The sequence below is a fragment of the Homo sapiens genome, chromosome 12 (assembly GCF_000001405.40).
Source record: "Homo sapiens chromosome 12, GRCh38.p14 Primary Assembly".
Classification (NCBI taxonomy): domain Eukaryota; kingdom Metazoa; phylum Chordata; class Mammalia; order Primates; family Hominidae; genus Homo; species Homo sapiens.
Genome location: NC_000012.12, coordinates 109,029,293 through 109,054,230, shown reverse-complemented (window position 1 = coordinate 109,054,230; position 24,938 = coordinate 109,029,293). Strand labels below are relative to the sequence as shown.

At 42.0% G+C, this 24,938-nt stretch overlaps 1 protein-coding gene and 1 long non-coding RNA gene across 14 annotated transcripts in view, besides 2 other annotated features; one reads left to right on the top strand and one right to left on the bottom strand.

Annotated features, from left to right (window-relative positions):
• The window catches only part of USP30 (ubiquitin specific peptidase 30), a 64,935-nt gene that overhangs the window by 33,793 nt on the left and 6,204 nt on the right, over positions 1-24,938 (bottom strand). For 9 of the 13 annotated variants that reach the window (XM_017020051.3, XM_017020048.2, NM_032663.5 and 6 more), the window contains exon 1: positions 1,470-1,655. Coding sequence is in view for 8 of the 13 variants with exons in the window: in XM_017020048.2 (XP_016875537.1) it covers positions 1,470-1,552 (83 nt within the window). In the remaining 5 variants the exon portion in view is untranslated. Of the gene's footprint in view, positions 1-188; positions 1,450-1,469; positions 1,656-6,516; positions 6,642-24,938 lie in introns of those variants that run through there. The other 4 variants (NM_001301175.2, XM_047429732.1, XM_017020052.3 and 1 more) reach the window with 2 other exon arrangements.
• Positions 259-628: an enhancer, noted in NCBI's record as "active region_6983". NCBI's record gives its function as "activates an Ori minimal core promoter by ATAC-STARR-seq in GM12878 lymphoblastoid cells {active_cell/tissue: GM12878}" and the evidence as "EXISTENCE:reporter gene assay evidence [ECO:0000049][PMID:35858748]".
• On the top strand, positions 266-2,190 carry USP30-AS1 (USP30 antisense RNA 1). The gene is made up of 2 exons (NR_038996.1): positions 266-545; positions 1,493-2,190. It is a non-coding gene; the product is annotated as a USP30 antisense RNA 1 (long non-coding RNA).
• Positions 962-1,461: an enhancer, noted in NCBI's record as "H3K27ac hESC enhancer chr12:109490575-109491074 (GRCh37/hg19 assembly coordinates)". NCBI's record gives its function as "activates a minimal SCP1, AML or CMV promoter by ChIP-STARR-seq in primed H9 embryonic stem cells {active_cell/tissue: H9 hESC(primed)}" and the evidence as "EXISTENCE:reporter gene assay evidence [ECO:0000049][PMID:30033119]".

Sequence of the window (24,938 nt, the reverse complement as noted above, 5' to 3'; positions counted from 1 at the left end):
GTATTCTTGAAGTTTCTTAATACATCACTGTGCTTTTACACGATACGTGAGTTCACAAAAGTGCCTGGAAAGATTATAAAGGACTGTCATGGAAGTGCTAAGGTGCTTTACCAGTGCTTTAAAATCCCCTAATCAAACACTAATATTTAAGGGTACATACTCTCTGCCAGGCCCTGTGACAATCTTACCTCATTTTTAAAACAACCCCACAGATGCAGGTTCTACTATCACTTTCATTTTTATAGCAGAAGAAACTAAGAGCCCAACTTGGTCACAGTGAGTGAAGGAACATGGCTCTGAATCATGCCTGTCTGTCTCCCCAGGTCTGTGCTTAAAACCACGAAGTTCAAGATGGAAACTGAAGGGAAGAGTGTCAAGGGGATGGGAGAGAGGACTTGTCCATGACTTTGGCAGCATAAGGAAAAAATACCCAGGGACAAGTGGCGACTTTGGAAACTCCATTCCTCTGCAAAATGACATCACGAGGAGAGTGGTGGGGCCTGCGGATGAAAAGATCTGGCTTCTCCTCCCAACTCTGCTATGAGGTCAGCTATGGGGCCACACTTCCTATCTACGGAATGGGGGCACTGGACAGGATAAGTATCGAGGACTTTCAGCCCTGGGATAATAAGCTCTTTAAACCTGCTCCAGTTCCAGAGGAAGCCGACCTGAGCAACAGGTCTCAGTCATTTGGGGTCAGCAGTGGGGGAGGGGGTACTCAGTTCTGAAGCCTGGAGCCCTTGGGAGGGTGAATAAGAGGGAAATGGGGGCCCTGACAGGATTGGGGACCCAGGCAATCGAGGAGTCCTAACAAGAACGGAGGGCTTTAACAGGACCAAGCAACCTTAACAGGTTAAAGGGGCCCTGACCAATTTAGAGACCCTTGCAAAACAAGGGCCTTTACTCACACTAACAACATCAGGGACCCAGACAGAAGTGGCGATCCATATTAGACTAGAGGGCGGGCTAACAGGAATAGGGGGCGGTACTAACAAAACGCGGGGCTCGCAGGCCCGGGGCACTTATAGGACTAGAAGAACCGTGCCAAGGTTGGGGAACCCTGGCAGTCCAGAAACTGATATGATTGGGGGACCCAGAAGGACTGGGGGTATACTAGAAGGATTGAGGGGTCTTGGCAGGCCTAGGAGGCACTGAAAGGACTGAGGGCACTGACAGAATTAGGGGCCTTGACAAGACTGGAGTGCCCCGGGTGTCCTGGGAACAATGACAGGAGGGGGAGGGACTGACAGACCTGGGGAGTGCAGACAGAATTGGTGTTGCCGAAGGACTGGAGCCCGTCAGTCCTCCCACCTACGGGCCCAGGCCTCCAACCCTAAAGGACGCAGAACCTTCCAGAATGCCCGCGCGGGCCCTGGAGACCCCAACTAGGGCATGAAAAAGCCGTCACGGGCCCAAGCTGGGGACCCTGGTCCCGGCCTCTTCGGCAGCCCCGCCCCCCAAAATCTCACCTGACGGCCGCCCCGGTCCGCAGGAAGCGCTGGATGGCCCTGTCGGCCGCGGTCATCGCCGCCTCGGCCCGGGAGCTCAGCATTGCAGCCGCACCGGAGGCCTGAAACCGTCTCCTCCGCTACCGCCGCCGCCGCCGCCGGACCGAGGGATACGACGGTTCCCGAGACAGCGGAACCTGCGGCCGCAGTCCCAGCACCTCGGGGGAACGTAGACCGCAGGACAGCTCCCAGGGGGACCGGAAGTAGCTGCCCCCGGAGAGCAATAGCTGACGGACCACGTCCTTTCTTTCTTTTCCCTTAGCAACAGGCCCCGGCGTCGGTTGCTACGCTGGGCTCAGTTGCCTGGGGCTGCTTGGTTTTCAGATTTGCTTAGGCTCCATTCATAAATACAGATGGCACACTTCTAGGATGGACCCTGGGTCATGATTTGAATTTTTCGATGTGGGGAAGGGAGGCCAACAGCCGAAAGTCGGGTCAGGCCTCTGCTATAATTAGTTATTATTGTGGCCAGAGTGGAAATAGGTCGCAGAGGAAGGAACTTTAATGAGCATGAGGCCCATCTCTGACGATATCAGTAGAGAAATCAACGTCTTTAATAGCCAACAAACTTATTGTTTACTTGGGTGCCAGGTATAGAGCTAAGTATGTTACATTCATTATTTACATTTAATATTCACACCAACTCTAACATTACCCACATTTTACATCCCAGGGAACCCAGGAAATTTGAAGAAATAGTAAGTTTTTTGACGCAGCTTGTAAGTGGTGAAACAGAGATTGGCAGTTCGGTCTGTCTGTCTCCAGAATGGCACTCTCCAACAGAAATATACAGGAGCCACATAGGTAATTTTACATTTTCCAGTAGCCACATTAAAGTGAAAAGCAGGAGGTAGGCCAGACGCCGTGGCTCACGCCTGTAATCCCAGCACTTTGGGAGAACGAGGCTGGTGGATCACCTGAGGTCAAGAGTTCGAGACCAGCTTGGCCAACATGGTGAAACCCCATCTCTACTAAAAATACAAAAATTAGCCGGGCGTGGTGGCAGGCTCCTGTAATTCCAGCTACTCAGGAGGCTGAGGCAGGAGAATTGCTTGAACCGTGGTGGTGGAGGTTGCACTGAGCCAAGATCATGCCACTGCATTCCAGCCTGGGTGACAGAACCAGACTCCATCTCAAAAAAAAAAAAAAAGAGGTCAGGTGCGATGGCTCATACTTGTAATCCCAGCACTTTGGGAGGCCGGGGGGTGGGGGTGGGGGGCACGGATTGCTTGAGGTCAGGAGTTCGAGACCAGCATGGCCAATATGGTGAAACCCCGTCTCTACTAAAAAATACAAAAATCAGCCAGGTGTGGTGGCGCGTGCCTGTAATCCCAGCTACTCGGGAGGCTGAGGCGGGAGAATCGCTAGAACCTGGGAGGCGGAGGCTGCAGTGAGCTGAGATCACACCACTGCACTCCAGCCTGGGCAACAGAGAGAGATTCAGCATCAAAAAAAAAAAAAAAAAAAAAAAAAGCAAGAGGTAAAATTAATTTTAACCATATTTTTTCCTTGACCCAATATGTTCAAAATATTGGGGCAGGTGCAGTGGCTTATGCCTATAATCCCAGCACTTTGGGAGGCCAGGTGAGAGGATGGCTTCAGGCCCAGAGTCCAAGGCCACCTGGGCAACATAGCAAGAACCCATGGCTACCGAAAAACAAAGAAAAGAAAAACAAAATATGTCATTTCTATGTGAAAATTATTGATGAGATAATTTACATTCTTTTTTTTTTGAGATGGAGTCTTGCTCTGCCGCCCAGGCTGCAGTGCAATGGCACGATCTCGCCTCTCAGGTTCAAGCGATTATCCTGCCTCAGCCTCCTGAGTAGCTGGGATTACAGGTGCACACCACCACGCCCGGCTAATTTTTTTGTATTTTTAGTAGAGACGGGGTTTCACCATGTTGGTCAGGCTGCTTGAACTCCTGACCTCGTGATCCATCCGCCTCGGGCTCCCAAAGTGTTGGGATTACAGGTGTGAGCCACCGCGCCCGGCCCATTATTTTTTTGTTTTTTGGTACTAAGTACCTCTCAGTTTGGAGTACCCACTTTTCATGTGCTCAATAGCCCCAAGTGGCCAGCAGCTACCGTATTGGACAGCACAGTTTATAAAGCATTAGAGCCAGCAAGATTTTTCCCTCCCTTTCAATCGCTTTCTCCGACTCCAGACTGAGTAATTGCATTCATGCTGGGGGTGGTGTCGCATACCTGTAGCCCCAACTACAGAAACAAAACAAAAGAAATCAATGCATTAGATCAGTAGTTCTCAAAGTTTTTGTTCTCCGGATCTCTTTGTACGCTTAAAAAGGATTGAGGGATTTTGTTTATATCTAACTGTACTCTGTTAGAAATTAAAATTGAGAATTTTTGTTTCCTTAAAATTGAGGTATATAGGTATATCTTGTTTTTTTGTTGTTGTTGTTTGTTTTTGAGATGGAGGCTCGCTCTGTGGCCCAGGCTGGAGTGCAGTGGCGTGATCTCAGCTCACTGCAAGCTCCGCCTCCCGGGTTCAAGTGATTCTCCTGTCTCAGCCTCCCGAGTAGCTGGGACTACAGGCTCCCGCCACCACGCCCAGTTAATTTTTGTATTTTTAGTAGAGACAGGGTTTCACCATATTGGCCAGGCTGCTCTTGAACTCCTGACCTTGTGATCCACCCACCTTGGCCTCCCAAAGTTCTGGGATTACAGGTGTGAGCCACCGTGCCCCGCCCGGCATATCTTGTTTTATTGCACTTCACTTTATTGTGCTTCGAAGATACTGCATTTTTACAAGTTCAAGGTTTGTGGCTACCTGACTACAGCAAGTCTATTGGCACCATTTTCAACAGCATGTGCTCACTTCGTGTCTCTGTACCACATCCTGGTAATTCTTGTAATATTTCAAACTTTTTTTTTTCTTTTCTTTTTTGCAATAATGCCTCACTCTGTCATGCAGGCTGGAGTGCAGTGGCGCAATCTTGGCTCACTGCAACCTCCACCTCCTGGGGTTCAAGCGATTTTCGTGCCTCAGCCACCCAAATAGCTGGAATTACAGGCACGCGCCACCATGCCTGGCTAATTTTAGCGTTTTTAGTAGAGATGGGGTTCCACTGTGTTGGCCAGGCTGGTTTCGAACTCCTGACCTCAGGAGATATGCTTGCCCTGGCCTCCCAAAGTGCTGGGATTACAGGCGTGAGCCACCGTGCCTGGTCCCAAAGTTTTTCATTATTATTACACCTATTAAGGTGATCTGTGATCAGTGATCCTTAATGTTACTATTGTAATTGTTTTGGGGTGCCACAAACAGCATTCAGGTAAACCAGCCAACTTAATCGGTATTGTGTATGTTCCAAGTGCTCCACTGACTGGCTGTTCCCCCCTCTCTCTCACTCTTCTCAGGTCTCCCTAGCCTGTAAGACACAACAATATTGAATTTCAGTCCACGCCTCTAAATGTTCGAGGGATAGGAAGAGTCGCACATCTCTCACTTTAAATCAAAAGCTAGAAATGATTAAGCTCAGTGAGGAAGGTGTGTCAAAAGTCAGGATAGGCTGAAAGCAAGACTTCTTGCACCAAACATTTAGTCAAGTTGTGAATTCAAAGGAAAATTTCCTGAAGGAAATTAAAAGTGCTACTCCAGTGAGCAGAATGTAAACTAAAAATCCTAAGCCCCGCCAACTGACTGAATGGGCCCCCTCTTGGCCAAGGGGACCTTCAAGAAACCTTAAACACTGAGTTCCCAGCCATAATGAGATGAGAGGTCAGACATGCCTCCTTATACCCTCTTCCTTAGAAGTTTAGACACAACAGCTGACCAGCCTTAATGTTGAAACAGTGATCATAAGACAGACAGAATGGACTGTTTGTGGCAATAAGATACCAAATTATAAACAGGATCTAAGGTCATGCCAAGCAAGGATTGCGTTACACACCCCTGCACTTAAAGAATAAACTGTTTTACATCCGGTTTTTCTTTTTCTTTCTTTTTTTGTTTTTTTTTTTTTTGAGACAGAGTCTCACTCTGTTGCCCAGGCTGGAGTGCAGTAGGGCGATCTTGGCTCACTACAACCTCCACCTCCCAGGTTCAAGCCATTCTCCTGCCTTAGCCTCCTGAGTAGCTGGGACTTCAGGTGCGTGCCACCACGCCTGGCTAATTTTTGTATTTTTAGTAGAGATGGGGTTTCGCCATGTTGGCCAGGCTGGTCTCGAACTCCTGACCTCAGGTGAATCAAGATACGGAATCACCACTGCCCACAAGTGACCCCCTGGCCCTTGGTACTCACCCCCCTCCACCCCCCTTCAACCCCTGGCAATCACTGATGGAAACAGAAATATTTAAAACCCAACAATACTGAAGCAGGCCAGGCGCGATGGCTCACACCTATAATCCCGGCACTTTGGGTGACTGAGGGTGAGTGGACCCCTTGAACCCAGGAGTCTGAGACGAGTCTGGGCAACATGGTGAAACCCTGTCTCTACAAAAATACAAAATTTAGCTGGGTTTGGTGGCACACACCTCTAGTCCCAGCTACTTGGGAGGCTGAGGTGGGAGGATTGCTTGAGCCCAGGAGTTAGAGGTTGCAGTGAGCCATGATTGTGCCACTGCACTCCACCACACAGCCTGGCCAACAGAGCAAGACCATGTCTCAAAAAAAAAAAAAAAAAAGTAGGCATTCTATTAGACGTCAGACCCATGATCACATCACTCATTGTACGGCCTCTGGAAAACTCCGAGATACACTGGTGAGTGAATGGGAATGGGAAGGGCTTAGTATTATTATGAAAAATTCTGACCCAGTGAACCTCCTAAAAGGGTCTTGAGCACCCTTAGGGAGCCTGCAGACTGCACTTTGAGAACCACCACTTTAGCTGGCTGGGTGAATACTAAAATTAGTCTAGCTAATTTTTTGTATTTTTTGTAGAGGCAGAGGGTTTCACCATGTTGCCCAGACTGGTCTCGAACTCCTGGGCTCAAGTGATCCACCCACCTTGGCCTCCCAAAGTACCCTCTCTTTAAATGCCACACTTACCCAACACACTCTGAGTAAGTCACTAGAGGAGAGGGCTGGCCCAGAGGATGGACCCTAGTTTGCAACACTTCAAATATGCAGAGCTTGCTTCCTTTTGTCCTCAGCGCTGGGTCTTAGTGTCCGGTCTGGAAAAACAAGATGCTTTCACATGAACATGTATAATGTATTTGTGTTTGTCCACAGGTAGAAAGAATAAACACAGAAAGATTCAAACACTCACAAGATTTCTGTTTATTTTTTCCTCATGCGGTTGTTTTGGGGGCCAAAACAAAACAATAATAAATGTCTCAAAATCATTTAAATTCCACCTCACACAGCATGTCAGAACTGTTTGTTGTAGCTCTTGTTTTTTCCCATTGATCCGCTGACCATGGTCTCAATTATGTTGGCAGCACATTCTTAGCACTGATTCACCCTTCTCCCCAGACAAGTTTGTGGGTTGACCTCAAGGCCAGAAGAGGATGAAGTGTAGGGTAAACATCGTCTCTTAGGTGAATAAATGTTGAATGAACATAAGAAGGGTTTCCTCGGTTAAAAAAAAAAAATGCATCCACCTCTGTTGTTCACACTAAACCCGTTGGAGGAGTAAAAGGTGGTTTTACTAAGAATTATGCTGGGACCACAGGTGTTGAACTGAGACTGTCTCCAAATACGTGGTCACCCTAGTCAATGAAATAAAAAATCTTTGGTTTGAGGTCTGGATCAAAACTTCCAGCTGGCCGGGCGCAGTGGCTCAACCCCTGTAATCCCACCACTTTGGGAGGCCCAGGCGGGTGGATCACCTGAGGTCAGGAGTTCGAGACCAGCCTGGCCAACATGGTGAAACCCCGTCTCTACTAAAAATACAAAAATTAGCTGGGCATGATGGCGCACACCTGTAATCCTAGCTACTCGGGAGGCTGAGGTGGGAGGATTGCTTGAACCTGGGAGGTGGAGGTGGCAGTGAGCCAAGATCGCACTACTGCACTCCAGCCTGGGCGACAAAGTGAGACTCCATTTCAACAACAACAACAGCAGCAACAACAACAAAACAGACCTTCCAGCTGGCTGGCTATGTGATCCTAGGCAATTCATCTTTTTCCCTGGGTGTGATGGTTAAGTTTAATTGTCAACTTTGGCTAGGCCAAAGTGGCCAGATAGTTGGTCAGACATTAGTCTGGATGTTTCTGTGAGATGGTTTTTGGATGAGATTAACATTTAAATTGGTGGACTTTTGAGTAAAATAGCTTGCCCTCCAAATAGTGGGTGGGCCTCATCCAATTAATTGAAGGCCTGAAGAGGAAGAAAAAAAAAAAAAGACTGGGCTGGGTGCAATGGCTCACGCCCGTAATCCCAGCACTGTGGGAGGCTGAGGTGGGCAGATCACGAGGTCAGGAGATCGAGACCATCCTGGCCAACATGGTGAAACGCTGTCTCTACTAAAATACAAAATAATAATAATAAAAATTAGCCAGGTGTGGTGGCATGTGCCTGTAGTCCCAGGTACTAGGGAGGCTGAGGCAGGGGAATCACTTAAACCCGGGGGGGCGGAGGTTCCAGTGAGCCAAGATCGCGCCACTGCACTCCAGCCTAGCAACAGAGTGAGACTCCATCTAAAAAAAAAAAAAAAAAAAAAAAAAAAAGACTGACTTCCCCCAAGCAAGAGGGAAGAATAAGAGGGAATTCTGCTTGCAGACTGCCTGAATTGCAACACTGGCTTTTTCCATAGGTCTCCAGCTTTCTGGCACACTCTATAGATTTTGGACTTGCTAGCTTCCACAACTGTGTGAGCCAATTCTTTAAGGCTCACTCCTATATCTATATCTATGTCTACATGTATAGCTATGTCTAGTTCTACGTCTATGTGTCTATGTCTGTATCTATATGATCTATACGTGTGCATACACACACATACACACGCGTTCTATTGATTCTGTTTCTCTGGAGAACCCTGACTGGTACAATGGGGTCACAGTTTCCTCACCTGAAACATACTGATTGCAACCACCTGCCAAAACTTGTTACCGACAAGACCCCATGCTAGGTACCTACATGCACTGCCCTGTTTCATCCTCCCAACAGCCCCTCCTAGTGGGTTCTATTAAAATCCCATTTCATAGAAGAGGAAGCTAAAGCCCGGAGAAGTGAATTGACTTGGCCAAGGTCATACTGTGGGTTTGTGACCAGACAGTATGGCAGGCGGGTCTGTGTGATTCTAAGGCCTGTGTCTTAAGCTGGACAATTCTGCCTCCGACCTGAGCCCTCAGGCTGGGACCATCACCCCCCACCCCCACTGTGATCTGCACCCCACATTTCTGTTGGTTTCAAGACACTGCCTGGGCATATGGAGCAACCCAGCCCTGATTTTAGCTGGGATCTCATTAACACCTGAGAATGGGCTAAAGAGAGGATAGGAAATGGAACATAAGTACCTCTTATCCCTTTGGAAAGATGTTTGGGCGGGCGCAGTGGCTCACGCCTGTAATCCCAGCACTTTGGGAGGCCGAGGCGGGTGGATCACCCGAGGTCAGGAATTCAAGACCAGCCTGGCCAACATGGTGAAACCCCGTCTCTACTAAAAATACAAAAATTAGCCAGGCATGGTAGTACATGCCTATAATCCCAGCTACTCAGGAGGCTGAGTCAGGAGAATCGCTTAGAACCCGGGAGGCGGAGGTTGCAGTGAGCAGAGATTGCGCCACTGCACTCTAGCCTGGGTAACAGAAAAAAAAAAAAAAAAAAAAAAAGATGTTTGACCTTACTTGGTAATGAAAAGAATGCAGATTAAAACTATAATCAGAAAACATTTTTTCCCCCATCAGATTAATAAAGCATGAAAAAGTGTGATAACATAATGATGATGGTATATGGGTAAACAGGAAAACTTGGGTATCTCTGTGAGAGGTATAGGTAGAGCAATTTGGATGTTTATCAGAATTACAAATCTGCATACTCAGTGACAAAGTATCACATATGTAGAAGAATAAACATATTTATTACAGCATTTGAGAGGATTTTTCCATTTTTTTTTATTGTGGCAAAGTACATATAACATAAAATTTGTCATCTTAATCATTCTTTTTTTTATTTTTATTTTTAGAGAAAGAGTCTCACTCTGTTGCCCAGGCTGGAGTGCAGTGGCATTATCACAGCTCACTGCAGCCTTGAACTCCAGAGCTCAGATGATCCTTCCACCCTAGCCTCGCGAGTAGCTAGGACTACAGACACGAGCCTTTGTGCCTGGCTGATTTTTCTTTTTTTGTAGAGATGGGGTCTCACTATGTTGCCCAGGCTGGTGTCAAACTCCTGGCCTCACACAATCCTCCCACCTCAGCCTCCCAAACTGCTCAGATCGCAGGCGTGAGCCACCATGTCTGGACAACCATTCTTAAGTGTGCAGTTCAGTGGTATTGAAAGACATTCATAATGTTGTGTAACCATCACCACCATCCATCTCCAGAACTCTCCATCTGCAAAACTAAAATTCTGTACCTGTTAAACAGTAACTCCTCATTCTACACGCTCCTCAGTTCCTAGCAACCACTATTCTACATTTTGTCTCTATTTATTCAACTACTCTAAGTATCTCACATAAGTGGAATCATACAGTAATTTGTCTTTTTGTGTCTGGCTTACTTCACTTAGCATAATGTCCTCAAGGTTCATTTATGGTGTGGCATATTGCAGAATTTCCTTCCTTTTTAAGGCTGAACACTATTCCTCATTGTATACCACATTCTGCTTATCCACTCTTTTGTTGATGGACACGGGTTGCTACCTATGTTTTAGCTATTGTGAATAATGTTGTTATGAACATGGGTATATACAAATATCTCTTCAAGATCCTGCTTTCAATGCATTTGGATATGTACCCAACCTGAAATTGCTGGATATTAATTTCTTATCAGATATAAAATTTTTCAAAGATATCCTCCTATTCTGTGGGTTGCTTTCTTACTCTTGATAGTGTCTTTTGATGCGCAAAAGTTTTAAATTTTCATGAAGTCCAATTTGCCAATTTTTTGTTGTTGTTGCCTGTGTCTTTGGTGTCATATCCAAGAAATCACTGCCAAATCCAATGTCACAAAGGTTTTGCCCTATATTATTTTCCAAGAGTTTTATCATTTTAGGTCTTGCATTTTGGTATTTACCCATTTTGAATTAACTTTTGTATGTGTTGTTAGGTAAGGGGCAACTTCATTCTTTTGCACATAGATATCCAGTTTTCCCAGAACTATTTGATGAAGACTGTCCTTTTCCCATTCAATCGTATTGGTACTCTTGTCAAAAGTCATTTTGACCATATACCAGAGAGTTTGTATTTGGGCTTCATTGGTCTATATGCCTATCTTATGCCAGTATCATACTGTTTTGATTAGTGTGGCTTTGTAGTAAGTTATGAAATTAGAAAGAGTGAGTCCTTCAGCCTAGCTTGTCTTTCTCAGGTTGTTTTGGCTATTTGGGGTCCCTTGAGAGTCCACACGAATTTAGAATGGGTTTTTCTAGTTCTTCAAAAAGTAAACGGGATTTTGACAGAGATTGTATTTACTCTACAGATCACTTTGGGTAGTATTGACATTTTAACGATATTAATTCTTCCAATCCATGGACTTGGGATGTGTTTCCATTATGTCTTCTTTAATTTCTTTCAGCAATATTTTGTGATTTTCATTGTAAAAGTCTTTCACTTCCTTGGTTAATTCCTAAGTATTTCATTCTTTTTGGTGCTATTGTAAATGAAATAGTTTTTGTCACTTCTTTTTCAGATTATTCATTGTTAGTATCTAGAAATGCAATGGATTCTTGTGTATTGACTTTCTTTGTATCCTGCTACTTTGCTGAATTAATTTATTAGTTCTAACAGCTTTTTTCTGGACTCTTTAAGGTTTTCTGCATATGAAATCATATCATCTGAAAACAATGATAATTTTGCTTCTTTCTTTCTGATTTGGATGCCTTTTATGTCTTTTTCTTGCCTAATTGCTGTGGCTAGAACTTCCAGTACTACGTTAAATAGAAGTTGTGAAAGCAAGCATCCTTATCTTGTTCCTGATTTTAGAGGAAAAGCTTTTAGTCTCTCACCATTGAGTATAATGTTCTGTAACATTGTTTTTAATAATAAGGGATTGGAAGCAATTTAAATATCCAGCAAAATTATTATATACCCACACAGGAGAGTACTATGTAGCTATGAAAACAATGAGCCAGCTCTTTCCGTATTGTTAGGAAAGGTGCTCAGATGTTTTGTTAAGAGAAAATAGGAGGGTGCAGAAAAATGGGCAAAATGCTATCATTTGTGTGAGAGAATAAAAGATTAGGCATTTATAATTGTAGGGATAAATAAGTAACTGGGAGCACACATTGCTTGCCTTTGGGAAAAGAACCGTATGACTGAGGACAGAAAGGAACATCTTTTTGTTCTTAGTGAATTTTGTACCATCTCCATGCAATATTTATTCAAAAAATAATTTTAAACTTGAAAAACATAATGGAAACACAGCATCAAAATTGACATTCCTTTTGGAAAAAAAAAAGCTCATCAGAAGTTTATACAAAGTGAAAAAAGAAGGTCAGCTAATACAATAAATGTGGTCACAATCTCGTATGAAGATACCTATGTGTGGGTGTCCTTGAACAGAAAAATGACTAAAAGGATATGCCTCTTAAGTGGTCACTCTGGGTTATCTCTCTGTGGTAAAATTACTAGTAATTTTAATTTTCTCCTGAATGCTGTTTCATATTATTTGAGTTTCTACAATTTTTTTATAATTAAAAAATAATTTGAGAGATACTCTATAAGTTTGTCTTTCTTTATGCAGTCATTCTGAATTGTCACAATCTTTGTAATTCAAACTATTTTTTTCTGGTTGTGCTTCAATTGACAGAGGGATCCTAAAACCCCACTTCAAAGCTTTTCTTACCTCAGATCTTCACAATAGTAAACTCACAGTTCGACCTTCCAAAGTAGCTCTTCAAGGAATGCCATGATAAATTCTTTAAAAAAATAATTTGCCATGGAATAGGCATCATCTAATTTATATGATTGATAAGTTCATACTTCACATATATTCATTTTCTTTTTCTTTTTTCTTTTTTTTTTTGAAATGGAGTTTCGCTCTGTCACCCAGGCTGGAGTGCAGTGGCACTATCTTGGCTCACTGCAACCTCCACCTACCAGGTTCAAGCGATTCCTCTGCCTCAGCCTCTGGAATAGGTGGGACAACAGGCACGCACCACCATGCCTGGCTAATTTTCATATTTTAAGTAGAGATGGGGTTTCACCACGTTGGCCAGGCTGGTCTCAAACTCCTGAGCTCGTGATCCACCTGCCTCAGCCTCCCAAAGTGCTGGGATTACATGAGTGAGCCACCACACCTGGCCATATTCATTTTCTTAAATCATGAAGCCCCAGCAAGCTTTCAGGAACTTGGATGTGATTAATTGTGCATGTTTCCTCCTATTTGTTGTTAATTTATGGGTTGTTTTCCCCAGCAAGAATTGCATTTGCCTGAAAGTCACCTCATCCTGTTAAAACAGAAATCCCATAAGTCTTCAGCACATTGCTTTGCAAAACATCTAATCTTAAGGAAACAATTGTTTTCTTTCTAATCTGGAAGGTCCTAAACTGAAGAGACTATCAGAGGCCAGCTCAGTTGACTGATGAGGAAACAGAGGACCTGAGAGTTTAAATGAGGGCAGAACTGGAACCAGACACCCCATTTCCTGGTAGAGAATCTGGTTCTTTCTCCACTGCCTCTTCTGAGAATTTTGACCATGTAGGGCAATATGGGAGAAAAGCTGAGTGTGGTAGCCTCAAAGATATGTCCCCAATGATCCCCCATGTTCTGAATTCACATCTCACATTGAAAAAACTATTGTGAGAGTGATGCTATGTGAATTCCAAAGCCAGGTCATAAAATACATTGTTGCTTCCACTTTGCTTTTTCTTGAAACACTTGCTCTGGGAAAAGCCAGTCACCATGTTGTGAAGATGCCCAGGCAGCATTATGGAGAGGTCCATGTGGCAAGGAACTGAGGCCTTCTGCCAACAGCCATTACCAACTTGCCAATCACGTGAGTGCACCATCTTGAAAGTGGATCCTCCAGCCCCAGTCAAGTCTTCAGATGAGACCACAGCCATAGCCAACATCTGGCTACAACCTCATAAAAGGCCCTGAGCAATAGCCAGCCAACTCAGCTGCTCTTGGTGGATTCCTGACTCACAGAAACTGTGTGGGATAACAATTGTTAATTTTTTTAAAGATGCTAAGTTTTGGGGGTAATTTCTTATGCAGCAGTAGAGAACTACTATAGCAGGAGCAATGTTCCTCAAAATGTGGACTTTATACCAACTACCTCAAAATCTCTTGAGCTGCTTGTTAAAAGTGTGGGTTCCAGGCCCCAACACAGTCAAGTGGATCAGAACATAGCAGTGTGATGCCTAAGAATCTGCATTTTGACAAGCTTCCCTAATAGTTTCTCTAATCACTTCCTTAATAGTTAAACTCTAAAGTTTCCCCAAACTTCAGGTATTTTGGTAGCACCCTAAATTTTTTTTTTGTTTGCCATATGTAGACTTTACCTTCACTATTTTATTCATCAACCTGTGGCACATAAATATTTTAAATGTTCTTTATAAAAACTGTTTTCACATGTAGAAAAAAAACAATATTTTTCTAATATATGTGAAAATAAGTATCTACATATGATAATTAAAATGTGATAAATATTTATATCATATATCACCCCAAGTCATCTTGATTACATTCAGAGGTAAACATTCCATCCTTAGTGAAACACTGAGATAGAGAAAGAAAGAAAATGGCTGGCCAGGTGTGGTGGTTCACGCCTGTAATCCCAGCACTTTGGGAGGCCAAGGCAGGCAGATCATGAGGTCAAGAGATCGAGATCATCCTGGCCAACATGGTGAAACCACATCTCTACCAAAAATGCAAAAATTCACTGGGTGTGGTGGCGGGCACCTGTAGTCCCAGCTATTTGGGAGGCTGAGGCAGAAGAATTGCTTGAACCTGGGAGGTGGAGGTTGCAGTGAGCTGAGATCGTGCCACTGAACTACAGCCTGGTGACAGGGTGAGATTCCATCTCAAAAAAAAAAATGGATTCTTATCACTTAGTAATAAGAATAGTTACAGCACCCCACATTTTTTCTCGGGAACTAGATCAGTTCTAAATGCTGGCTTCTGTATCATCTCCTTATATTCTCACTACATTCATGGGCAGCAGATAGGGTAAGATATAATTAGTGCCATTTTACAGATGAGAGCATTGTAGGAACTTTATCTAAGGTCAAATGACTAGAACACAAGCCCTATCTCCTGTCTTCCCACCCAAACCTTTTTGGAAGATATGACATTCCTCTATGGCCAAAATAAACCATAGAGAACTATAGGATAAGACACATAAAAATATAGAAGGTACACTATTGTAAAAGAATGTAACAAGACATGCAAATTAACTTGAAATGAATTATAGATCTACAATTGAAAGTTAAAACTGTAAAACTTTCTGAGGAAAACGGAGAAAAATCTTTGCAACCTTGGGGTAGACAAAGATTTCATAGATAGATCACAAAAAGCACAAACTAGAAAAGAAAAAACTGATACATTGGATCTAATCAAAATTTTAAAATTTTTCTTTTCAAAAAACACTGTTAAGAAAACAAAAAGATAAGCCACAAAATGTTTATAATACATATATCTAACAAAGACTTGTATCCGGAATATGTAAAGAACTCTTGCAATTCAATAAGAAGAAAAACAATTCCCTCTGAACTGGCAAAATATCTGGACAGATACTTCACAATACAGTATATGAGAATGATCAGTAGGCACATGAAAAGATGGTCAACATCACTAGTCATCAGGGATACAAAAATTAACACCATTATATAATACCACCACACACCCATTAGAATGGCTAAAATTAAAGAAATTAATATCACTTGTTGGTGAGGATTTGGAGCAACTGGATATCATACGTTGCTAGCAGGAATGTAAAATAATATACTTTGGAAAACTATTTGGCAGATTCATATAAAGAGAAACATAAACTTACCATAATGATCCAACCATTCCTCTTCTAGGTATTTATTTATCCAAGAGAAAGGGAAATATAAGCCCACACAGACTGTTTGTTGAAACATTGCAGGTAAGTATTTTAATAAATAGCATTCATTGCTGAAGAAATGAATAACAATTGCAGCAAAAAAAAGATAGACTAGCAAAAAGCTTAAAAGGGAAAAAAAGCTTAAAAGGAAAATGTGTGCTATTTACAATAGCAATGACATGGATTCAACCCAAATGCTCATCAATGATAGACTGGATACAGACAATGTGGTACATATACACCATGGAATACTATGCAACCATAAAAATGAATGAGATTATGTCCTTGACAGAGACATGGATGGAGCTGATCCAGGAACAGAAATCAAACACCACATATTTACATGCTTACAATTGGGAGCTGCATGGTGAGAACACATGGAAACTGGCAGGTGGGGAGGGGGGCGGGAACCAACATACACTGGGGCCTTTGGAGGGGTCGGGGGAGGGAGAGCATCAGAAATAACAGCTCATGAATGTTGGGCTAAATACCTAGGTGATAGGTTGATCTGTGCAGCAAACCACCATGGCACACTTACCTATGTAACAAACCTGCATATCCTGCACATGTACCTGGGAACTTAAAATAAAAGTGGAAGAAAAAAAAAGAAAATCTGAGGAATCAGATATTCAGGGGCTTTGAAAAATTCAGATGTAATTCTGAGTATCTAGAAGGACATACACATGTGCAGCACTCTCTACATGCTCAGGGTAAACCTGAGAAGGCCCTAAGTTCTCACATCTGGCTGACCTTGATGTTTGACACAAGCAGGAAGTGAAGCCTAAGGCAGAGTTTTCAGCTGACAGGCTGAGTGTTGAAGGTGTACCCCAACACACACGGCACTCCTTGGCAAAGACTGGAAGATTTACTGGTTCCAGGCAGTTCCAGGCATTTAAGGAAATCTCTATCCAATTATTAGCTGACCACTAAGCTATCTGAGTTTTCAGTGGCCACACCTGTAGGCCACTAACTGAGTTTATGGAATTAGTTCAGAAAAGCCACAAAACAAACAGCAACTACAACAAGCAGCAGCAAAAACAAGCCCTGAGGAGGGAGGAGAATCTGATTTCCAGAGTTGCCATATTATATTATATAAAATGCTCAGCATTCAATAAAAAATAATGACACATGTGAAGAAACAAAAAAAGTAAGGCCTATGCACAGGGGGAAAAACAGTAAAAATTGTGTTTGAGGAAGTCCAGACATTGAACTTATGAAACAAAGACTTTAAATAAGTTTTAAATATGATCAAAGGAATTTAGACATAAAGATCTAAGGGAAAGAATGAGAACAATGTCTCCCCAAATGGAGAATATTAATAAAGAGATAGAGATTATTAAAAGGAATGAAGTAGAAATTCTGAAGTTGAAAAGTAGAATAACTGAAATGAAAAATTCACTAGCGAGCACAACAGCAGATTTGAACAGGTAAGCAAAGTATCAATGAACATGAAGATAGTTCCATTGAGATGAGGAACAGAAGGAAAAATAATTGAAGGAAAATGAACATAGGCTCAGAGACCTGTGGGACTCCATCAGGCATACCAATTTAGGCATAATGGTAATTCCAGAAAGAAAGGAGAAAAACAAAAGGGAAGAAAAAATACCTGAAGAAAAAAAGATGCCAAACTTCCAACATTTTATGGAAAACATTAATCTATACATCAAAGAAGCTCAATGAACTCCAAGAGAATATATTCAAAGAGGTCCACATCTAGACACATTCTATTTAAACAGTAGGAAGCCAAAGACAAAGAGAATTTTGAAAGCAGAGAGAAGCAACCCTCACATAAAAGGTATACTTAATAAGACTGACAGCTAAATTCTCATTAGAAACCTTGGTGGTCCAAAGGTAGTAGAAGGACATATTCAAAGTATTAAAAAAAAACAAAGCTGTCAACAATAATACTATATCTGGCAAAACTATTCTTTAAAAATGAAGGAGGAATTAAGACATTCCCAGATTCTTAAACAAAACAAAAAAACAGAGACTTGTCACTAGCAGACTTGCCCTATAAGAAATACTAAAGGGCACCTGTAATCCCAGCACTTTGGGAGGCCAAGCAGGGTGGATCACCTCAGGTCTGGAGTTTGAGACCTGCCAGGCCAACATGGTGAAACCCCATCTCTATCCAAAATACAAAAATTAGCTGGGCGTGGTTCACACCTGTAATCCCAGCTACTCAGGAGGCTGAGGCAGGAGAATCTCTTGAACCTGGGAGGTGGAGGTTGCAGGGAGCTGAGATCACACCACTGCACTCCAGCCTGGGTGAAAGGGTGAGACTCCCTAAAAAAAAAAAAAAGAAAGAAAGAAATACTAAAAGGAACATTTTGGGCTAAAATGAAAGGGCACTAACAGTAATTCAAACCCACATGGGGAAATAAAGAGCATCCGTAAAGTTGGCTACATAGGTAAACATAAAAGAAAGTATAAATATATACATATTTTTTGAGACAGGATCTCACTCTATCACCCAAGCTTAAGTGCAATGGTGAAACCCTGACTCACTTCAGCCTCAACCTCTTGGTCTCAAGCAATCCTCCCACCTCAGCCTCCCAATTAGCTGGGACTACAGCCATGGGCCACCATGCCCAGCTAATTTTGTTTATTTTTTGCAGAGATGATGTCTCACTATGTTGACCAGGTCTGGAATTCCTGAGCTCAAGCAATTCTCACACCTAGGCCTCCCAAAGTGCTAGGATTACAGACATAAGTCATTGTGCCTGGCCCATGTATTTTTTGTATATAATTTTTTTGTGTATCTGATTTTAAAGACAACCACATAAAGCAATAATTATAAATTTATGCTGATGGGCACACAATGCCTAAAGATGTAATCTTAACAATAACAGCTTAAGGGGAAGTGAGATACATATGGCAATGTTTTTATATACTATTGAAATTAAGTTGGTATTAATCCAAACTAGATTGTTATAAATCAAAATGGTGGCTGGGTGTGGTGGCTCACGCCTGTAATCCCAGCACTTTGGGAGGCCGAGGTGGGCGGATCACTAGGCCAAGAGATCAAGACCATCCTGGCCAACATGGTGAAACCTCATCTCTACTAAAAATACAAAAATTAGCTGGGCATGGTGGCACATGCCTGTAGTCCCAACTACTCAGGAGGCTGAGGCAGGAGAATCGCTTGAACCCGGGAGGCGGAGGTTGCAGTAAGCCGAGATTGTGCCACTGCACTCCAGCCTGGCAATAGAGTGAGACTCCATCTCAAAATAAATAAATAAAATAAAATAAAATAAAATAAATAAACAAATTGAAATGGTAATGGTAATCTCCAGGGCAACTACTAAGAAAATAACTCAAAAATATATAGTGAAAGAAAAGACAAAAGAAATAAAATGGTACACTAGAAAATATATATTGAACACAAAAGAAGACAGTAATGGAGGAGCTGAGGAGCAAAAAAGACATGACATATTGAAAGCAAATAGTAAAATGTAAATCCTACATTATTGGTGATTACATTAATTTTTTACATTAAATTTGAGTGTATTATATTCTACAATTACAAGTCAGAGATTGGCAAAGTGAAAAAAATAATCCAACTATATTCTATCTTCAGGAGTCTCATTTCAGATTCATAGACACAAATAGGTTAAAAGTAAATGGATGGAAAAAGTGGTATCATTCAAACAGCAACCAAAAGCGAGCTGAAGTAATTACACTAATATCAGACAAAATAGACTTTGAGACAAAAATTGTTACTCAAAACCAAAAAATCTTTATAATGATAAAAGAGCCAATTCATTAAGAAGATAAAACAATTGTAATCATACATGCACTTAACAATACAGGCCCAAAATACAATGAAAAAAAAAGGACAGAATTAAAGGGAGAAATAGACAATTTAACAGTAATGGTTGGAGACTTCTATATCCTACTTTCAATAATGGATAGAACAACTAGACAGAAGATCAACAAGGAAATAGCAGACGTGAACAACACTATAAACTGTTTCTAACAGACATCTATGGAGCACATCACCCAACAGCAGCAGAATGCATTTTCTCTCTTTCTTTCTTTTTTAATAGAGATGGGGGTCTCACTATGTTGCCCAGGCTGGTCTTGAACTCATGAGCTCAAGCGATCCTCCCACCTCAGTCTCCCAAAGCGTTGGGATTACAGGCATGAGCCACCACACCTGGCCTACAGAATACACTTTCTTCTCAAGTGGCTTATGAAACATTCCTCAAGATAGACCATATATTAGGCCATAAAATAAGCCTCAAAATTTAAAAGAATTGAAATCATATAAAATATGTTCTCTAACTGCAATGGAATGAAATTAGAAATCAATAACAAACAGGAATTTGGGAAATTTTATAGATATGTGGAAATTAAACAACACATTCCTGAATAGCCAATAGGTAAGAGAAACATTAACAAGGGAAATTAGAAAATTGAGTAAAAATAAAAACACGAGGTACAAGTCACAATATTGTGGAGAGAAGACCACTATTCCTTTGAAAACAACGACTCAGACACGTTGAGCTGTTTTTGTTTGAGAGCTTTTCCTTAGGTCTGGACAGGTTTACCAGCTTCTGAATTACCTCTTCCCCTTGTTTATGTTACGGCCCTCTGGGAACACATTATCTGAGGGATTAGGGTTTTACTAGGAGACTTTTGGAGTTTGTCCTTTGAGCAAGCTACACAGTTTTTCTCTCTGCCCTTTTTGGCCTCCCTAGTTATTGTACTGATTAGACATCTTGTATTTTCATGGAGGGATGAGCTATGTGACCCAGGGACTCCTTAAAGTTGTGCACCTTTACATTATTTAACAAGGGCTTAACCTCTTAACCAAGCCTCACCTCTTTACCAGCTTCTGTGGCAAAGTCAAGAGGTACTTACCTGCTCCCAGCACAGTGCCAGGGATCTGGGAGTGACTCTAGATGGAAGTGCCATCCCATCAGCATGGCTAGCAGACTAGGGACTTTCCATCAATGTTTTATTCCCCCACTTTTTTTTCTTTAAATCATGTGAAATTTGATCATACAAATTTGGTCATTCTTGTCATACCCAACTGAAACAGAGTCAAGAGGCCAGGGAGAAAAAGTACTCAGGGCACATAGCATTGCTCCAAGGCTATATTAATAATTCTCTGCAAGCCTGGCTGCTCAAACTGCCTGCTGTAACCTGAAACCAGTGTTACTAAAACAACCTGCTGTGACTCGAAGACTAATGTTACCCATCCCTGTCACTCACCAGTCAGAATTTGCCAGCTCCTCCAAACTTTACCAGTGCCAATGAACTTTCTTTCAAAATAACATGTAACATTTCTCCATTTTATAAAACCTCCAAACTTCGCTTGTTCTTTATACATACTGAAGACTACCCGGTCTATGGGTATGCCTTGAAGTATAATTCTTCCTTCTCAAATAACATGTTTTAAGTTTAGAGGTTCACCTCTATATTTTATTTGACTCTGACACTCCAACTTAAGTTTCAAAGAAAAAAAGACAAATCCATTTTTTGAATTTAAGTCCATGGGCTTCTTTTTAAAAAATTAAGTGCCATTTTCATAACTGGTAGAATACTGTCTTGATAAGAATAGGATTTAGAACACAGTTGATTGGGGGACTGCTTGTACATAGCACATGCTTTTTATTTTCAGTATTTCAGGCTAAGGGGCAGCTTGTCAGTCTCTATTCCAGTCTCCCTTAAAGTATTCACTTTTGTTTTAAGAATCTGAGGGGGGAAATCATGATGCATTGCTCTGGTGTGAAATAAAACCCATCTGGCTTTTGGCATGCCCCCATTTCCTAGACAGATGGATAATGTGGTGGGCTGGAGGCAGCTGCCTTTAAAGTGTGCAATTTAATAGGGGTTTTTTAAAGTATATTCACAGGGTTGTGCAACTATCACATCTACTTTTAGGACATTTTTGTCCCTTCTAAAAGAGTCGTCATATGTATTAGCAGTCAATCTCCATTTCCCCCTCCACAACCCCATTCCTAAGCAACCACTGATCTACTCTCTGTCTCTATGGATTTGCCTATTCTGGATGTTGCATGTAAATGAAATCACACAATATGTACAACATGTGGCCTTCTATGTCTGGATTGTTTCACCTAACACAATGTTCTTAAGGTTCTTCCATATTACACCATAATCAGTACTGCATTTCTTTTTTATTGACAAATAATATTCCATTGTATGGGTATACCACATTTTGTTTATCCATTCATATCATTTGATAAACATTTGACTTGTTTCCAATTTTTGGCTGTTATGAATAATAATGCTATGAACATTTAAATACAAGTTTTGCATAGAGCATTTATTTTGTTTTTTAGACAGTATCATTCTATCTCCCAGGCTGGAGTGCAGTGGCATGATCTTGGCTCACTGCAACCTCTGCCTCCTGGGCTCAAGCAACCCTCCTGACTCAGCCTCCCAAGTAGCTGGGGTTACAGACACAAGCCACCATGCCCAGGTAATTTTTTTTTTTGTAGAGACGGGTTTCACCATGTTGCCCGTGTTTTTTTTTTTTTTGACAGAGTCTCACTCTGCCACACAGTTTGGAGGGCAGTGGCACAATCATGGCTCACTGTAGCTTTGACTGCCTAGGCTCAAGTGATCCTCCTACCTTAGTCTCCCAAGTAGCTGGGACTACAGATGCACACCATGACACCTGACTAATTAAAAAAAAATGTAGCGATGAGGTCTTGCTATGTTGTCAGGGCTGGTCTCGAACTCCTGAGCTCAAGCAATCCTCCTGCCTTGGCCTCCCAAAGTGCTAGGATTACAAGCCCGAGTAATCACACCTCGTCTCTACCTTCTGTTTCTATGAGTGACTACTTTTGAGACCTCATATAAGGGGAATCATGCAATATTTTTTTGTTGTTACTGGCTTATCTCACTAAGCATAATGTTTTCAAGCCTCATCCATATTGTAGCTTCTATTGGAACGTCATTCATTTGTATGGCTGAATGATATTCCATTGCATGGATAGACCACATTTTGTTTATCCATTCATCTATTGATGGACACATGGGTTGCTTCCACTGTTTGGCTATTGTGAATAATGCTGCTATGAACATTTGTTGTTCACGTTTTTGTTTGAGTCCCTGTTTTTAATTCTTTTTGTATATACCTAGGAGTGGAATTGCCAGATCATAGAGTAATTAATTCTATGTTTAACTTTTAAAGAAACTGTCAGTGGCAAATTTTAAAAGTGCTATACCTCATACAGCTGAATTGGAAGTGAAGATGATGTGCTCTGGAAAAAAACTGAGTTAAGTGAGTAAAAAAGTGGATCCAGCATGACAAAGACAATGCCATTGAGGACACATGTGTAGAGTTTGAATGAAACTGTTCCATAAAAATGATGGACAAAAGTAGCATTTGTAAATGGGTTGTTGTTTTATGTAATATGCCATTTCCAATGCGTGTAGTCACATTAATAAATTAAAATTTTAAATAGACATTGAACATGTTTATCTAGTTCTATAAAATATACTATATTAAGATGGCTCAAAAGTATGTTTTTTTTTAGTTTTTTAAATTAAACTTTTTATTTTGGAATAATTTTGGATTTACAGGAGAGTTGTAAAGACAGAACAGAAGGTTCTGGTATACCCTTTGCTCAGCATCCCCTGATTTTAAAAATACTGTATATATTTAAGATGTACAACTTGATGATTTGATATATGTGTACATTGTAAAAGAATCACAATCGGCCTGGCACGGTGGCTCACGCCTGTAATCCCAGCACTTAGGGAGGCCGAGGCAGGTGGATCATGAGGTCAGGAGTTCAAGACCAGCCTGGCCAAGATGGTGAAACCCTCTCTCTACTAAAAATACAAAAATTGGCCAGGCGTGGTGGCAGGTGTCTGTAATCCCAGTTAGTCGGGGGACTTAGGCAGAGAATTGCTTGAACCTGGGAGGCAGAGGTTGCAGTGAGCCAAGATAGCGCCACTGCACTCCAGCCTGGCGACAGAGTGAGACTCCGTCTCAAAAAACAAACAAACAAACAAGCAACCTACCTTTTTGTGTGTGTGTCTGGTGAAAACACTTAGAATCTACCCTTTTAAGAAATTTCAAGTATCGTTACCTATAGTCACCATGCTGTACGTTAGATCTCCAGAATTTATTCATCTTGTATAAATGAAAGAAACTTTGTACACCTTGATCAAACATCTCCCTATATCCCCTTTCTTTCAAAAACTTGTTTTAAGATCTTGTATTAGGATCTTGCTTATAGTGGGAGTTTGACATATATTTGTTTCATACAATCATTTGCCATGCACATGAATATCCATCATCTTGTTTAATCCACACAATAGACCTGCAGGTTGGTATCTGTCTCTATTTTACAGATGATGCAACTGAGACTCAAAGAGGGAAAATAATCTGTCTACCATCACACAGGTAGTAAGTCACAGAGCTGAGTGTGTCTGACTCCAAAGCTGGTGCCCAGTACACAATGATTGACAGCTGGGCAGGGCGACAGGATTTTTGTAGGTGTGGGAAAGGTATAAAGTAGGTTCCCTGCCTTAATCTTACAGCGTAACTTGCAGGAAGAAGGTGAACATGTATTCAGTGGCAGAAAATATAGTTCAACACGTATTTCAATAATGATTACTGGAAATAAACTATTTGCTTGTTTAAGAATGTAGAGTGTTGTACAGATGGGAGAGGAGGGATTATGGGAGGGCTGGAGAACTCGGGGAACTTTCTCAGAGGCCTTAACAGATAGGGTACCATTAATGTTAATCAAAGGTTGCCCCTCTCACCCTACCTTCTAGGAACCGGCCCTACCCATAGCCCTGCCTTCTCAGCAGCTGTGTTCTCTGTTATGGACTGCCATATGCCCTGTCTGACAGAGTAGGAGCACCGTCATCTTGGATAAACACTGCCACTTTGTTCCAGGTCCCTTTCTAACCTCATGCATTTCAAGGAAATCACTTCTCTTCTAACAGTAAGCAGCCAGAAAGAGCAGACAGTAAAACACAGATAAGATAGCTCAGGCACGGAGGGAGGGTGGAAAGTCTCTTGGGTAACCACCAAACTTCACACTCATACAATGGGCCCTAGTAAAACAGTGTGCCCTAATAAGTACATTCCTTTCCCTTTAGGTGCACTAAGATAGGGAAGCTAAATGCACACTCAGGGGATATGCCTGTAGTGTCAGAGAGATGTATGGAAACAGACACAAAACTCTCCCTCCCAGATAAGCAAGACAGAGACACAGAAACATTCCAAGCCTGTGATAAGCTCTCCTGCCCTGAACCCTTAAAAACTTTTAGTCTGTCAGAGAGAGTGCCTCTGACCTAACTCGGCCAGAAGCCCCTCTCAG